Here is an 18603-nt window from a genome sequence, read left to right as displayed (position 1 = left end):
AAATACTATCATTTACAGATATGAGCCTGTATCAGCTTAAAAGCAGGATAGGGATCGTAGTTCTACCCTTGGCCTTGACAGGCTCTCTGATCTTAAGCGGCTCTTTTAGTTTCTCCAGTCTTCCATTTTCTCTGCAGGGTGAGATAGTCATTGCACCGTAGTCTCTTCATCAACTTGTGTGAAGATAAAAATACTTGTTAACATGCATGAACCCTTACTGCAGGCTAAGCACTGTGCCACGTACTTTTATGTCTAGCTTTGTCTTGCCAGGATCCCCTGAAAAATACGTATTATTATCATACCCATTTTACAATGTAGAGGATAGTGAGGTGACACAGCAATGACACAGCTTGAAAAGAGCAGAGACAAACTTTGAAATAAGATCTGTTGGAGTGCAGTGTCTAGACTCACAATTACAAGCCCAGCCTGCTTTGCAAAGGAAAATGCATCTGATAAACCACTTAAAGGAATTCATATTAAGCAATGTGCATAATAAGTTGTCAGCAACCCCTGTGCCCACCATCAGCTCAATGCCACCAGAACACAGCACACATACACATATGCACACAGGTACACATTCATGTATTTATTTAAAAGTTTTTTCTTTTATGGGAAAAAGAGTCTCCACTCTAGAGACATATTTGGAACCACTCTCATCTGATCTGTGATGTCTGTAGTTTGGGATGAAATTTTACCCTTGCTGTAGAAAGCACAACTAAAATTTAAAAGTTAATGGAGCCTGAGTATTAGTTACTCCTGATTTCATAAATTTGCAGCATCTTATAAATAAGTTGACTGTGATCCTGGGCTTTATTTCTGAAGCTAACGATTGTCTCTTTGACCAGAAACACAGAGGGCAGCATTCAGTGCTGTCTTTTAAGGATTTTAAAGAGCATAATCCATGCTATTTGGTGCTGGATAGGAGTGAAGTCTACAAGGAAATTGAACTTTGCTTGCTGCCCCATGTGGATTCTGTGCTTCCAAGCCACCAGCTCCAGCTGTTCAAAAAACGACAGTTTCTATGAATGCCAAGACTTATAAAGTATCTCCCCAGAGTTGTATTATCTCCCCCTGAGCAATAAGGGCAGCCTTTTTGAGACGTATGTCTCCTCAATTAGCTTCTGTGGTTCTCTCTGAAGAGTGTGTTCCTCTAGCTAGAAAGAACGATTCTGCAGATTACCCAATAAGACAGCCTCATGAGATGTGTGGGAGGACTGAAAGAGTGTGATGGGTTGGGGCATGCTTATCTTTGAGCCCAAATAACAGTAACATCTCTATAACAAACATTTTTTTTCTGGGACGGGCTAGCTTGGAAAAAAGTTTCAAAGCCATAGTTTCTTTCTGGAATGATAAAGAACCCAAATTCTCAATACCAATAAAAGATATAATTTGGTGGGGAAAAAATGGTGACTTGAAAAACGTTTCCATAACTGGAGCATCATTATTATGAGTTTACCCAATTACCATGACTGGAGGTCCTGCCTGACTCTCTGTCAGACCTGAAGTTGCATAGGTCAGCTCTGCCTCGGTAGTACTGCACCCCAGTTTCCCTGTTCCAGGAACAAATGATGTTACAGTTTATTGTAGGACTAAAAAGCACCTTGAGACTGTGATCAGCTTTTTGTCTTTATGGTTTTGCCAGCATGTGTGAGACCTTTTAGCATTATCAAAGATTTTGTGGAGTCTGCATATGTGCAACTGGAACGATGAATTTATCACGAAAAGAAAAGGGGATCTCAAGTTTACCCCCAGTGTTGCCTCAATCCTAGCATCCAGGCTTTGGAAGATTGAGAAGATACAAATTCATTTTTTTTTCTTTCTTGGTTGATCCTTTTACCCATCTCAGAAATAAAATGATCTAATTAGTACTTTGGGTTCCAAAACATGTTAGAGCCAACTGCCAAGTCAGTGCCTCTGTGGGTCTTCCCAATTTCACTTGCAATGTTAGCTTCTCCCGCTTTACTTCCAAAGCACTTTGTCCCCAGAACTCCCAAAACATTTCGAATCCGAATTAGGAGTGATTATTTTTTGTATGTCCGTCTTTTCCACTAGAATCTGAGTAACCTTATCCAGAAAGGCAGTCTTATTCTCTCTTGTGCATCCAATTCCTGACATAGTATTCATCCCAGTCAGAATTCAATAAATCTTTGTTGAATAACTGAATGCACTTATTAATCAATCTGTATATGAATGTTCTAAGCTGGCAAGGAACTACATCAAGGCCCATTCCTTAATTCAAACATCTTACATATGTAAAGGTAAGAGGCCTCCGAAATTTATAGCTATATAGCATTGGTTAAAAATCTTAAATACTTTTAAAATCTATTTGATTTGTTTATTAATGATTCTCCTACTGAAATATATGCCTGATGAATACAGGAACTGCATCCAGTTGGGGTTACACTTCTGGCCCTCAGAGTGCTAACACATAGTATATGTTCAATAAATATTTGGTAAATGAATGAATAAATCAGAGAGTGAACAACTTCATCAATGGGACCCAGTGACCAATGCCCTCATGGAGGTTAACCTTGGGAAGAAGAGGGCTTCTGAGGTTTCTCCTAGCTGTCTGAAGATGTAAAGTTCTACAGGCTAATTTGGTGGAAGCAGCTTTCAGAAATATTGATAGTTTTTCAATTACATATGTGTATTAGATCTACTGAAGTCTCCATAGAGACAGAAGAGAAAAACCTTATTTGATCTAAGGCCTGAAACTGTGCCTGGTACATGGTATGTTCTCAATCAATATCTGCTGCATAAAAATAAATGACTGCTCTGAAAGCACTCAGTTTTCAATGGTATAATGTTTTCTGTTTTCAGCCTAGTTTAAAAGGTCATGTCCTTCATCCCAGCACCGTCTGTTCATGCCATCTTGTTTATGTCACTATTATTCATTGAATCCTCCCGCCCATCTCTATTTTACCTGCTATGTCTCAATGTTGACTGACAAATGGCAAAGACTATCTGCTCCCTTCTAATGACTGTTATAAATAGACTAGTAAGGACGTGTTCTTAAAATCACCCTTTCCCAGGGGGCAGATATTTATCTAGTCATAGGAAAGTGAGGATTGGAGTACAGTGTGGTCTCAGCCCAACAAATATGTTTGTGTGCTGACTCATTCCTTTGGTCACAGCTCTGTATTAGGCTGAAGGTACTGTTATTTGAAAAAAGAGAATCCAGAACCAAATTTCTATACTGCCATTCATAGCAGAGAAGAAATGGGGAAAAGCACAAAATTCCTAGAATCACTGTTCAAAGACAATCTCTGTTTAGAGAGAAGAAAACTTGGATTGTCTGTGTTTAACACCAAAGGAAATTTAACTCCATGTATTAGTCCATTCTTGCACTGTGATAAAGAAATACCTAGACTGGCTAATTTATAAAGAAAAGAGGTATAATTGGCTCGTGGTTCTGTAGGCTGTACAGAAAGCATAGCAGCTTCTGCTTCTGGAGAGGCCTCAGGAAACTTACAATCATGGTGGAAGGCAAAGGGGAAACAGATACATCTTACATGGCAGGAGCAGGAGGAAGAAAGAGTGGAGGAGGTGCTGCACACTGTTAAACAATCAGAACTCACTCACTCACTATCAGAAGAACAGCACCAAGGGGATAGCGCTAACCCATTCATGAGAACTCCACTCCCATGATCCAGTCGCCTCCCACCAGGCTCTACCTCCAACACTGGGGATTACAATTCGGCCTGAGATTAACCCAAATTATATCACTCCAGATATTGGGTTTATTTAAATGTCTTACAAACTTTCCATTATTTGGAGAAATACTCAGATTCACAAGACAGACATGGAAGGTGTACCACAAGCAAAGGATCAGGGGCCTGCAGAGACAGCAGAGACAGCTGAAATTTCTGACTTTGTCTCTTCCAAAATGAAGAAATTGTATTTTCTCAAGCTTCATTTTCTACATCATTGGATGAAGTAAATTATCATTTAGTGAGGTCGTTGAGTGAGTTAAGAATGAAAATATCTCTAAGAATGACAGGCACTGGTCTACTTCACTACTCTTCCCCTAGCAGAAAGGAATCACTTAGATTCTGATAGATGTATTGAAAGATCCTAATAAATGAAGGGGGTAACATGGCCAATCATTTTAATGAGGAATAAGTAGGAGGAGAATTAGAGAACCAGGCATGAAATTTAGAGATGATGAAATCCAGAGGTTTTCAAATATTTTGTTTAAGAAAACTTAAAAAATTAAACATGAAATATTGTATGTATCTCACATGATATAAAACAAAGGCCTTGGAGCTGCTGTGATGTACCTAGGGTGAAGGTCCCACAGTGCCAACCTCTGGGCTTCTCTATGCAGCACTCAGGCTGTCCATTCTGCTGGGAAGCTTCTCCACTCAGCCTTCAGAAACTGAGAATCCCTAGGATTCTTTCACTGATGTAACCTCATTCTCTGCTTCCCCCAGCCCTTCACCAATAAATTTTGAGAGAGAATGAATGATTCAACTGGACTTAAATGGGACTTGCCCAAAACAACTCAGTTAATTAGCAGCACAATAAGAAATAAACTCAGTTCTCACCTAACTACCCATCTGACATTGACTCAGTCATGCCACGGTATATTAGTCAGGGCAGGCTAAGTTTTGCTCCAATAAGAGCCATGCATCTAAGTGGCTTAAGTCTGTGATTTATTTGTCAGTCATCTAATATGTTCATCTTTACATTCGTGACAAGACTGTTTTCTTAGAAAAGTCCTCATTAGAGGACTCAGGTGAATAGAGCTCCATCACCAGAAATTTCCCATTGTTATAGCAATGAGATAAAATACTTGGAGAGTTGGGCACTAACAATTAAATGCTTTTACAAAAAAAGAAGTCATATATCTCTTCCCTCTCATGTGATCTGTCAAAGCAAGTCAATGGACACACCTAAATGCAAATAGATGGAGAGGCGCAATGCTGGAAGGAGAGAAGAGAATGGTCAACACTTCTGCCACAATGACTGATTAGTATTTATGTGTTTTCTTTTAATTTATAATATTCAAATACTGGTTTAGAATCAATCATGTTACAGCTTTAGATATGGTATCAAAATATAAAAGCAGATTTTAAGCAGTTGTGGCATGGCAACTATAGAGTGATATACAAGACTTATCATAATACTAACTACATCTGATGTCTGAATCAACTTCAAAGTCTCTGTTGACTCTTACATCTTGGGTTCCAGAGGAACAAGGCAACTTGTATGCATGAGATAGAAAAACATAATGGGTAACTTTATCATTATTATTATTATTGTTCATCTATGCATTATTGCGCAGTATTATCAGTAATACTGATAATGGCACGATCTTGGCTGACTGCAACCTCCAACTCCCAGGTTCAAGTGATTCTCCTTCTCAAAGGTGGCTTTGATTGCAAGAAGCCAATTCTAACTAACCAAAGGAAAGGGAATTTATTGAAAGGTTATCAGGAACTCAAAGGAAGTTTGGAGAGGCAAGCAGAGCTCAGATGTTGCTGCTGTTACAAGAAGACATATACATTGTTGTGACGCAACACAGTTTCAGAGGCCAGGAAGCAAGAAACACAGGATTTTGAAACTGTAACAGTGTAGTCAGGACCAGAGTGCAATAAAACTCAACTATTTTCAATCCTTTCATTTCTCTACTCAAGATTCAAATTTTAGGCAAGAGCTTCCAGTTATAATTATTCGTTATTGGCCGGGAGCAGTGGCTAACACCTGTAATCCCAGCACTGTGGGAGGCCGAGGCGGGCGGATCACCTGAGGTTAGGAGTTCGAGACCAGCCTGTCCAACATGGTGAAACCCCATCTCTACTAAAACTACAAAAAATTAGCCAGGTGTGGTGGGGCGTGCTTGTAGTCCCAGCTACTTGGGAGGCTGAAGCAGGAAAATCACTTGAACCTGGGAGGTGGAGGTTGCAGTGAGCCAAGATCACACCATTGCACTCCAGCCTGGGTGACAAGAGCGAAACTCCATCTCCAAAAAAAGAAAAAAATATTATTAGTTATTATTCTAATTATTCTCCTTGACTAAGAGAAGACTGTTTTCATCGAGGAGGAAGAGAAAATAAAGGAGTTCTTAAAAAGAAGAAAATTGTACTGGGAGATGAAAATAAAATGTTCACCATACATTTGTTATGGAAAAATTGTTCCTCTGCCCCCACACATCCACTCTTAGTACAGGGCTTGTTTCCCTTCTACCCAGCAGAAATGCTGGGTAGTTCCATAGCTGAGTGCACTTCATCTCAGCTTCTGCTTCCACTCTGTATTAGTCTCTTTTCATGCTGCTATAAAGAAATACCCGAGACTGGGTAATTTATAAAGGAAAGAAGTTTAATTGACTTACAGTTCTGCATGGCTGGGGAGGCCTCAGGAAACTTACAATCATGGTGGAAGTGGAAGGGGAAGCAGGCACCTTCTTCACAAGGGGACAGGAGCAAGAGCATGCGTGTGAAGGAGGAACTGTCAAACAAATGTAAAACCATCAGATCTCGTGAGAACTCACTGTCATGAGAATAGCATGGGAAATCTCGCCCCAATGATTCAATCACCTCCCTCCCTGGACACATGGGGATTATAATCCGAGATGAGATTTGGGTGGGGACACAGAATCAAACCATATTACACTCCTATGATTTCATTTCAAAAGCAGCTATTCCAGCTTCACCACCTACTTCTGTATTTTTCCCTATCGCAAACTCCCAAATGTTTTTTTAGACTTATAGCCATATGATTTCAGGTTCTAGAAAAGGGGAAAATACAGACTCAAGGTCTATTGAAAGATTAACATTAACTAAAACTTGTTAGAGAAGAATTCATTGTTACTATTTCTGTTCTTATTTCACCAAATACTCAACTACACAGGTATTTATCTAAAACAGACCACTTTATGAACTTGAAAGGAAATGAATCTCTTAATGAAATGCAAGTTCCATGTTATTACAGAGTGTTATTTTCTCATCAAAATTTCTTCCAATTCATTATCCAGTGTCAGAGGAGTTGTAGCTATTTTGGGGTTTGGGCATGTCAATATGTCAAACCCTGTATGCTGATTTTAAGCTCCACTATAATGTATATGCATATCTAAATAAGAAGTGTACTTCAGGCCAGGCACGGTGGCTCATGCCTGTAATCCCAGCACTTTGGGAGGCTGAGGTGGGTGGATCACTTGAGGTCAGGAGTTCGAGACCAGCCTGGCCAACATGGCGAAACCCCATCTCTACTAAAAATACAAAAATGAGCTGTACTTGGTGGTGGGGGCCTGTAATCCCAGCTACTGGGGAGGCTGAGGCAGGAGAATTGCTTGAACCTGTGAGTTGGAGGTTGCAGTGAGCCAAGATCACACCACGACACTCCAGCCTGGGCAACAAAGCAAGATTCTGTCTCAAAAAAAGAAGAGGAAGAAGGAGAAGGAGAAGAAGAAGGAGGTTTACTCAAGTATCAACTTTTCTCCTGAAAGTTTCTCACTAAGTGCTTAGTTCTTTAACTTGAGGTTAAAAACCTTCCTTTTATGTTTTTAAAATTATCTTTATTATGATTGAATCAAATAATGAGTAGAACAAATCTTTAAAAATACTATGTGATAGTGAAAAAACTGAAAATAGCGAAGAGATACTTACACAAATACCTATTTTTTTCAAAATCTGAGGATGACTTTCTAGGTTCAAATTCCTTTTCTAAACCTCAATTAACAGCAGACACTTGTTGGCCTAATTATTTGAAGTACTATTCTGTAAAAGACCAGAAAAGCTAGTCTGAGTCAACATCTAAAATTCTCTGTAATTTTTTTTTAAAGTTATAGTTCGATATTTATTAAAACCACCTAGATTAAATGTTAAAGCAAGCAACATTTCCTTCCTTCCTTCCTTCCTTCATCATATGTATATGCTTGTCTTTTCTTTGCTTTTTGCGAAGAATGAACATTTAGCTGTACTCATTAATGTTACAAGAATAACTTCCCTGCTGCCAACAGTTTCTTCTAAGTCAGAGAACCTCTATTGTCTTTCCTCTGGTAATAAATGATAATAATTAAAGGCAAATACACAATAATTAGTCACACTAGATTTATCCATCTGGCGTACCTGTATCCCATCACTGTGTCTTTGAAACAGATGACAAGCAGCATATTGCAGCACATCCTGCTAATGGGTCTAAGTGGGGAATGGGGAGGTAAAGAGGTCATTAAAAAAAGGGTCAGTAGCAAAGAGCAAGAGCATTATACATTTTTTTTTGGAAGTGGTCATTGAGCATTTAGCTTTGTATCTTCCAAAAACGTATGTGTATCCACAAGATAGTAGTAAACTAAAGTAGCTCACCAGGCCTGGGAAGGTCTATAGACATTGTTAATTTCATTGTTTAGATCGCAGTCACCACGAGGATCTTCATAGTTACTGTTTATTGCTTTCTTGCTATCTTCCAGGCAGTGAGTTCCATTTTTAAGATATTTCTCTCTACTTCTGAAAATCTTACAAGGTACATATTGAAATTATCTCCAATATATAAATGCAAAAATTGAGTTAAAGAGAGATTTAGCAACTTCTCCAAGACCATATTACCTCATAAGGACTGAGCCAAACATTAAATAAAATGGCATTTTTGGAAGTTTGAATGAAGTGTGTTGAAGATGCTTGTTAATTATTGTAATTGAAGGTTGACTTTAAAATTTATGATTTTGTGGGGAGGGGCAAGTTTTTATGCACATATAGACTTTCAGAATTTAAGTTAATATGACCATCAACCTTTTTGAAAGAATATAATGCTAAAAGTAAACATACGAACTTTTGTCAATGGGTGAGGCATGTCTTAGATTCCACTGGATAAGACTATTAAAAGTGCATTACAGGCCAGGTGCAGTGGCTTACCTCTGTAATGCCAGCACTTTGGGAGGCTGAGTTGGGTGGATCGCTTGAGGCCAGGAGTTCAAGACCAGTCTGGCTAACATGGTGAAAGTGTCTCTACTAAAATACAAAAAACTAGCTGGGTGTGGTGGTGCACGCCTATAATCCCAGCTACTCAGGAGGCTGAGGTACTCTTGATCTCAGAAGGTGGAGGTTGCCGTGAGCCAAGATTACAGCACCGCACTCTAGCCTGAGCGACACAGCGGGACTCGGTCTCAAAACAAACAAACAAAAAACCAAAAAAGTGCATTGCAAATGAATTCTTCTTTCTCTACAAATACAAGAGAGATGGCCATTCATGGGGGCTGTTGTGTCTCATATGTATTTTTCAAGGAAGAACAATATTACTCAATCTGGCAGTTGCTTCTATAAAGCGAGAAAGACCTACAATACATATCTCTTAAATTCACCAAGCATTCTCTGTATTCGGTTCATGTAACTGCAATCTCTATTCATGTTTTTAAGGCTAGAGATGCCCTCAATACACACATCCACATAAAAATGGGCTGTCACCTGTCACTGCATCTGCTCACACTCTCTGAATTTATCACTAACTTCCCACAAATAAAAAATGGAGTTATTTATCAGCTTCTTTTTTTTCAAAAGGTGACATTAGGCACTTCCAGATTATTAAAGATAACCATCTCATGTTTCCAGTGTTTCTCTGGAAGGATATTCTCTCTTCATTGTTGCAAGGAGATCTGCACATTATCTGAGGCCCATAAGATGGCAAGGAAATAAAAAGGTATGGTTGGAGATAAGACTTTCTGAGCCGAAAAAACTCATGAGTGCATGTTTAAAATAGCTGGAATGGGACATAGTACCTCCACTTGCTCGATATTAGAGGAAAATATAAGAAAAACAAGATCAGGGTTTTGCAATCAGTGTGAATTGTTATTCACCAACCATGTCTGAGTCTCAGCGAGTCTGTTGAAACACAGGGTTCTACAAAGACAGCAGCACCTGTTGCTGAGTGTGCAGTAACAGCCTCACCATGTAATCAACGCATTCCCATCTGTGGCGAAATTTCCCAATTTTTCTTTTAAAGATCAGATCCTTCATTGCTAATGAGCTAACGGGAGGGATGCAATGTCTTATTCGATTGTGGCTTATACTGTGGCTGCAGTATAAAGTAGTGGGAATGAAAAATTAAAATCAGCTGAGGTTTTCCCCAGCTTCCAAGGCTGATGTTTCTTTCTTTCCAAAGTTTTGCTTTGCATGGATTTTCAAGGGTTCGTTACACATCAGGACATTAGGAGTATTGGCTTGATTGTGTTTCTTTCTTGTGCCAATCTAGTCACGGATCTGATTGAAGGATGCGACATGATCCTGTGCTCTTTTCTACCTCTCAGTACCATGTCCAATTTGATAGCCAAGAACTGCAAATTCTGTGCCTTTAGTGATTTTTTAAAATAGATTTTCTCTTCTTTATCCCTATCACCAATATCTTAGGACAGATCTTTGTTATTTCTGTTTTTCTCTTCTTTCTTTTTTTCTTTCTTTTTCATTTTTTAAATTTATTTTATTTATTTTATTTTATTTTTTTTGAGACAGAGTCTCGCTCTCTCTCCCAGGCTAGAGTGAGTGCAGTGGCGCGATCTCGGCTCACTGCAATCTCCGCCTCCCGAGTTCAGGCCATTCTCCTGCCTCAGCCTCCTGAGGAGCTGGGACTACAGGCGCCTGCCACCATGCCCAGCTAATTTTTTGTATTTTTCATAGAGAGAGGGTTTCACCGTGTTAGCCAGGATGGTCTTGATCTCCTGACCTCGTGATCCACCCGCCTCAGCCTCCCAAAGTACTGGGATTACAGGCGTGAGCCACCGCGCCCAGCCTTTTATTTTTAATGTTTTTAAGACAGCATCTCATTCTGTCACCCAGGCTGGAGTCTCGGCTCTCTGCTACCTCCGCATCCCAGGCTCACGCGATCCTCCCATCTCAGCCTCTGGAGTAGCTGGGACTACAGGTGCACCCCACCATGCCTGGCCAATTTTTAAATTTTTGTAGGGGCAGGGTTTCACTACATTGTCCAGGCTGGTCTCCAACTCCTGGCTCAAGTGATCCTCCTGACTCAACCTCCCAAAGCGCTGGGATTACAGACATGAGCCACCATGCCCGGCATTTGTTATTTCTTGCAGATTATTATAGCAGCCTGTAAACAGTGCTACTCTTGCTCTCCATTACTCCCCAAGATTGCCTTTTCCTTTAGCTTTTATATTGCCTCCAGACTTTTATAACTATAAGCAGAATCACAGCACTACATAGAGACCTTGATCACAGCCCTCACATCCATCATTACCTCTGGCACCTCTCTGCTCTTAATTACATGCTTCTTTTTCAGTGACATTTTGCAGGCAGTCCTTGCCTTCTATCCACCCCCTCTCCCCACCAGCCATGTGCCTGTTTTATCTAACGTCTTGCTTCTTTGCTAGGGATCTCCTATCCATCCTTCAAGAAGTGGAGTGGAAATAGATTACAGTTCACTTGGTAAATGCAATGTTGATTGGCAATGTTTTCCTGAGTCTGTGTTCAGTAGGATTCTGATGCCGTGTCTGGGGTTGATGAGAATAGTGTGGAAGTAGAATTGTCTCCCAAGGGTGCGGAAGGGAGAAAGGTTGGCCTGGTTAAAATGTCACTCCCTCCATGAAATCTGCTCTAACTTCCCAGGAGAATTTATCGGCTCTCTCCTTCAGAAGGCTTCAGCACCTAAAATTTCTCCAGTCCTAGTATTTGTAGTTATTGTAATTAACTTCCTATACATCTGTCTCTTATATTACACTGTGAACTTTTTTGGGGCTTATCGTGGACATTGGACACTTACTAAATATTTGTTCAATGACTGACTAGTTTCTTTTCTGACCCCACCTTAACATGGTTATGGAGGCGTTTTGGCAAACTATGGCCTGCAGGCCAAATCCAGCCCACCACATGTTTGTGTAAATAAAATAATATGGGAATAGAGCCATGCCTAGTCATTTCCTTAGGATATATGGCTGCTTTCCTGCTACAGCAGTAGACAGAGCTGAGCAGTCATGCCACAGTCTCTATGGCCTGCAAAGTGACTATCTAGTCACCTACAGAAAAGGGTTGAACACCCAGTTCTAGAGCTTAAAAACAAAGGCTGAGATCCCAGGTGTTGTACGTTTTTTTCCCAAACACAAGCTAGGGAACTTCTGAGCCATGGAATATAAAGTGTTCAGCCCAGTTGAAAGACCTCCAAGGTCAACGTTCCTGCCTGAATTTCACTGGGTTCTGCAGCTTTCTAAACATTTTTTTATTTTGCTTTCAGAAATGTTGTCAAAGGATGCTTCTTTGATTCTTGGAATAATCTTGATCATCAGTATTGCATTTGATAGCTCTTATGAAAACGTCTTGGTTCTGTGGCTGCATGCTGCACTGATTTTTGACAGCCTTACCAGCACTTTGCCTTGCATCTACTTGTTAATATAACAATGCTAAATGAAGAGCAGGAACTGTTTCTCTAACAGTCATGTGTCTTGGTTTCCTCCTTCTATCACTATAAGTTTCATCTCCTGACACAAGTTCAACTAGCTACAACTGAAATGACATAACTTCTCCCTAAACATTCGATGGTAACTTCACCTTACAGCCTAGTTGTGGAGTCAGACCATCTGTGTTCCCATCCTGGCTCCTTCAATAAATTACTGGCTGATAACCTTGGGAAAATCATGTATGTTTCTAGCCCTCGGTATCCTCCTCTGTAAAAAGGGGGTGGATGGCAGTAACAAATCTCTGTAAATTGTTGTGAAAAATCAATACAATCCATGAGAAGCACTTGGCAGAACTGCTGTCATAAGCATGCTGTTTGCTTTTTCTTTGTTTTCCTTTCATCATTCATGTTAACTCATCTAGCTTCTCATAAGGAATTAGGTTTATCAGTGTAAGTGTACCAACCTCCAGGTGTCAAAGTCATACCCATGACCTCTTTGACTTCTGATGTCATGAACACCATGGCGTAGGGAAGCCTGAGGGGGCTGGATCATATCATTCTGAGAGTGGGCCTCAAGGTGGGCTTGTAATGGTTCTGAGAGGTCAGAGTAAGCCTCATAGTAACACACACTTTGGACACGTAAAACGATACTCAAGACATCTGAGTTATCCAGTCTCCTCTGAAATTATTTCTAGATCTCAGATTGGAAGAAAAGTACTCTTTCTTTCTTTCTTTCTTTCTTTCTTTTTTTTTTTTTTTTTGAGATGAAGTCTTGCTCTTGTCCCCAAGGCTGGAGTACAATGGCATGATCTCCGCTCACTGCAACCTCTGCCTCCTGGGTTCAAGTGATTCTCCTGCCTCAGCCTCCCAAGTAGCTGGGATTACAGGCACCTGCCACCATACCTGGCTAATTTTTGTATTTTTAGTAGAGACGGCATTTCACCATGTTGGCCAGGCTTGTCTTGAACTCCTGACCTGAGGTGATCCGCCTGCCTGGGCCTCCCAAAGTGCTGGGATTACAGGCATGAGCCACCACGCCCAGCTGAAAAGTACTCTGTCTTTCTAACAACCACAGGTATCCTAGTTCTAAGCTACGGAGCCTGTCTAGTCTGAGGTACACATTTTTGCTATAGCCCAAGTCCCCTAGGAACTAAAATGGCTGCATAATCTGGTTCTAACTGTCTCTCATTCTAAGCTGATTGGCCTGGAACCAGAAAAAAAGCAGACAGAATAAAGAACAGATGAATTTCTACAGCCCCAACCCGCTTGAGCATTATTTTTCCAATTTCATCCTGGAAACCAAGTAAAAACATGTTTTGATTATATTTACAAATTTATCCAATCATCCTGGAATTTTGGACTACATTTTATGTTTGGAAAGGGACATCAATAAAGTGCCTTCTGGGCATGGAGCTTGCCTGAGCTTCAGGGGTTTCCTCTGTGGGACACCAGGCATGAAGGGGCGGCCAGGGCAACGCTGTCTCTCTCCTGCCTAGTACGTGCCACCCCGACATGCTTGACTCCTTTCTCAGGGGCCTCAATGCACAGCGGGGTCTTCTGATGTTGGTCTCTTTAAAAACAAATATTTATTGGAAGCCTGGACAATTGCAGCCCCTTCCAACTGTTGTCACTGTTGTGGGTTTCTCTCCCCTCAACCCATCTATCTTATTCTCCAGCAGAGCCATCTATCTGCAACACAAATCAGATTATGTCATTTCCCCTCTTAAAAACCATCAGTGCCTCCCAGTTCTTCAAAAGATGATGTCTTAAACCCTTTAGGAAGGCTCACCAGCATTCATGAGCTGACCCACCAGGGTTCCCTGGTAAATCTGTTCCTTTCTTAAAAACTTAAACTCAAGTATCTTCCTTCATTCCTTCTTTGGCATTCCATAACAATGGGTGCATATGTTTAGCACTAAAATACATTAAATGTCATAAAATAACCATTCAGGTAAGCACTAATCTCTGCTACTCTCTTTTAAACACCTTGAAGGCAGAGAGTATGCCAAACTTTTTGTATCACAGCTATTTGACACCAGGTTTGACAAAATTGCTGCTCTGTAGAAATGATGAATGAATTAATACAAGATGTGGTGCTCCCGTAGAATCCTGCTTGCATCTCACTCACATAATCTTCACATTATGTTTTAGAGGCGGGTCTCTTCTAACAGACTTCATAGTCCTTCAGGGTAGGAATTCTGTTTCTATCTTATCTACCACTGGCTCAAACTTCTATGTATTTCTGACATATGAGAAAAGCTCGACAGTGTTTTGTTGAGGAAAAGATTAAGTTTTTAAAGGTTAAAAATTAAAGAGACCTGGAATCTATGCTCAGACAACTTTCTCTTCAGTTGGATATATTAGATAGGATGCTGATATCAGGTAGGCTAAAGTCTAATGTCAGTTTAAAAGGGCTAAGGTTTAAGAAAATGGCATGAAAGTGAAGCATGAGTATAGGAAGGGAAGGACAGACTACTTCTGGTTGCTAGAATTTATTTATTCAACAAATATTTATTGAATACCTAGTGTACACATGACACAGGATGCATGCTAAACTCTGGGGAGAGGAACAGACTTCTTCCCAGATTTCAACAGCTCAAAGCTAAGCCCAACCATTGCCATCGTGTGGGGCAAAGGTGAGGACAGAGGATGAACTGGGCAACAAGGAAGCAGAGCAACACTCCTCAATCAGCCTGGGAGCTGAGAGACTGGAAGGATATAGGAAGGCCTGGACATTCAAAGACAGGTTTGGAAAAAACCTATGCTGATGTGGAAGGTTGGACAGCTCCTTAGTACTACCTGGAAACCAGGGGGAAAATAGGAGAAACATGACTAGCTTGGGAATTCCTTTGCGAGTCTTGATAAACAATTTTCGGACAGTTACTATTTCTCTGTCTGCTGCCTCCTGCCTGGCCTTAAGGCAGCCACCCCAGACAAGGCTAGCAGAGAGTGAGGGCTCTGAGGAGAGGAAAACAAACAAACAAACAAATCAGAAAGGCCAATCTCCAAAGAGAAGATTAGCCCTTAACCAATGTCCTCAAAGGGACCTAACGTAGAAGAGTAGAGAGTGTCAGGTCAAACTCTAAACTCCTATGAAAAACCGCTGCATGTCTGGTACTGATGATGTGAGCTTGGTAGATGTATAAGGCAGCATCCTTCTCTTTGAGCCGCAACTGGGTGCTGCTGGTTACTTGAAATAAATGTTGATCCATAGATTTTGGCTTTCAGTTTTGAAAAATGTAAACTTCAATTACATAGTAATTTAGGAAACTCTTGAATTCTTTCCTATAAATCTCCTCTTTATGAGACAATTTGAATGTAGTTTCAAATGGAGCCGCTGATTTGTACTCTATGAAGAGCTGAGCAGATAGTAGGCTCCTGACAATGTTTTAAAAAATGAATTCTATTGAATAATTTTATATTTAGCTCCTGTTTTGTGATTGTCACTGAAGGTACAGAAAAATGAGTTAGATTTGGTATCTCTATTCAAAGAACCAAAACTCTAGTGGGAGGAAAACTGGAAAGAAGGTAAATAAGGAATATAGTAAATAGAGCTGCAAACAAATTGCTATAAAAATTCAGAAAAGCAAGAACAATTACATTTTTAGGACAATTAGGAAGGGCTTAAAAGAGAAGGCAGCATTTGAAGATCATTGGTTTGTCCAACCTAGATTTAGAGTTAAACATTTGTTACTCATCAGCCTAAAAATGCTTTATTGATATGTAACAATTATAATTTATCCCATGATTTAAATTGGAAATTAAGATAAGAAAGAGTGAAGAAGAGAAGAATAAGAAAAGAGAAGGAAAAGAAGAAACAACTTCTCAGATTTATTCTCAGAAAGTCTATCAACTTTCTTTATTGGCATTATAGAGGTTTCTAATAACAGCCAATGCTTTCTAAAGCTATGATCACATTCCACATCACATTTGTGTACTTACTTAGGACTTACAAAATTCTTCACTGCATGCTGTTTCATTTGGTTCTTTTATCAACATTACAAGATGGAATACTCAGGTAGCCCCGAAGTCGTTTCCCATATGCTGAAGTTCAGCAAGATTCATCTTCCAACCTCCTTCAACTGGTGGAAGAATAAAGACCATTCTAATGGCCGTCTTCCAGCTCCTTCAACTCGACTCTGCTGCTTCCCATAGAGTTTTGAAAAGTTCTTCATCTGGATTTGTTAAACAAGTAAATAATATTTCATAATTGCAAGAGCGTCTCCAAAATTATTTCATTTTTTAAAAAACACATCAAATTCTGTTTTATTTAGCCAAAATTGACCTCTCTTACTTTCTCTTATCATCACACTAGATCATTTGCAGAGTACTGTTCTTTAGTTTTTTCATTTCCATCTGGAAAACAAGAGTGCTATGTTAGAAAGAATTAAGTCCCTGAGAGTAGAAGTGTAAAAACAGTATACATTAGCTCCCAAAGGAAACATGAATTCTCAGATGATTTAAATAGTATGACTCCAACATCTGAAATGGAATAAAATCAAGGCTTGTTGACAAGAATGGAGGTCCCCCAACTTCATTAATAATGGATTGAAAATAGTTTCCTGGGTCCTTGTTGAAAAGGAGGCTGGGATCAGCATTAAGAATCTGTTTTAACTCACGATAGCTGATAGCTGCAAGAGGGATACAGTCAGATGGTTCTGCCCCAGGAGATCTTCATTCTGTCTTACTCAAGACGTGTAGATGATGATGAGAAACTAAGAACTTACCCCCTTGTTAGCCCCTGGAATCTCATTCTTCTCTAGAGCACTAGGATGACTTCGGGCCTGTCATGTTAGTATCTTTCAGAGTAGTTATCTACTGTTGTCTCATTTATTATCTATCTTAATGTTTCTACTTACATTTTATTCTTTTATGTTTTGGGTTTTTTGTTTTAATTTCCTAGGAAAGAGTCTAAAGCTGAATTAAAGCAATTAAGAGTGAGATTGAAGCAAAATAACATTTCCCTGTGATGACTTAAAAGTATTTTTTAGCTCAAAAAAGTAATACTGTTTATTGTAAAACTTTAGAGAATACAGAAATTATAATGAAGAAAGTATTTACTATAACATTCACCCACAAAAATATATATTAGCAATATATATCCTGCTTCCTTAACATATGTATATGTAATTGTGTTTTCTACATTTTTACTTGATAGTATAGCAAGAATATCCTTTCCTGCTTCAACCTCCTGAGTAGCTTGGGACTATATGTGTGCCCCACCACACCTGGCTACTTTTTTTTGTAGAGATAGGATCTTGCTATGTTGCCCAGGTTGGTCTTGAACTCCTGACCTCAGCCTCCCAAAGTTTTGGATTACAGGTGTGAATCACCATGTCCAGCTACTTTGTCAGTATACTTTCTCATAGCCAGGTGTATCATATTTAAACAGAAGTCCTGAGTCTTTCCCATAAAAACATACTTCTCCCCAAGTCTCCAAATCTAATAAATTGGTACCACTCTTCACTTGGTAGCTCTGGGACCAAACTGACTTATCTAAGATTATTTTCTTTCCTTTTATCCCAAAGGATAAGTCCTGTGGTCTCTACTTCTAGAACTTGTCCTGCATTCCACGCCTTGCCACCTCACCATCATCTCTGCTCTGGATTATGTACTGTGTCATTCCCCAACTAATCTTCTTACTCCCTCTGTCCCCTGGAGCCCTCCAAAACCCATCCTTCATAGAACAAGCCATAGGATGTTTTTATAAATCAGACCCTGCCCCTCCCCTGCTTAACACTCGCCAATCACTTCCTATTGCATTTGGCATAAAATCCAAATCCCTTGCTGTGGCTGATGAGCCTCTCCATTACCTGAGTCTGACTGTCACTGCCATCTCCTCCAGCTGTCCAGCTCTCCCTCATTCATTTTCTGAAACGATCAGCCTGTTTGTTGATTTGCTGCTCATTTGCTTATTGTGTGTTCATTGCCTGTCTGTCTCCTCCAGATCATAAGCTCCGTCTCATGCCTGGGCCTGTCTCGTGGTGAATCTTCGCAGCCTGAGTGGTGACTGGCATACGGCTGGCACTCAATCAGCATTTGCTAAATGGATGAATAATATTCCGTGACAAATTGTTTTAGCTATCCTTCAGTCTTAAAACATTCTTCTACTCAATACATTTATCCAGTTTCAAAAACACTGACATACTCTCACCACATTATCCCTCTGGTCTCAATACTAAAGTCTAATCTTGGCAGCTTGCCACGCCCCCATGGCTCTAACACACATAATACTTCAGGATTTGACCGCACAGTGCCTTCCCTGGCCAC

General features: G+C 40.0%; 1 long non-coding RNA gene across 1 annotated transcript; it reads right to left on the bottom strand.

Moving 5' to 3' along the window:
* Positions 1-16258: 16258 nt before the first annotated feature.
* On the bottom strand, positions 16259-18369 carry LOC105370986 (uncharacterized). Its single transcript, XR_932642.2, has 3 exons — positions 18147-18369; positions 16628-16689; positions 16259-16508 (listed from the first exon to the last, which is right to left on the bottom strand). It is a non-coding gene; the product is annotated as an uncharacterized LOC105370986 (long non-coding RNA).
* Between the last annotated feature and the right edge of the window lie 234 nt (positions 18370-18603).

Source organism: Homo sapiens, chromosome 15 (genome assembly GCF_000001405.40).
Source record: "Homo sapiens chromosome 15, GRCh38.p14 Primary Assembly".
Classification (NCBI taxonomy): domain Eukaryota; kingdom Metazoa; phylum Chordata; class Mammalia; order Primates; family Hominidae; genus Homo; species Homo sapiens.
Note: the sequence above shows the minus strand (reverse complement) of the source record. Positions and strands in the feature narration are given on the sequence as shown.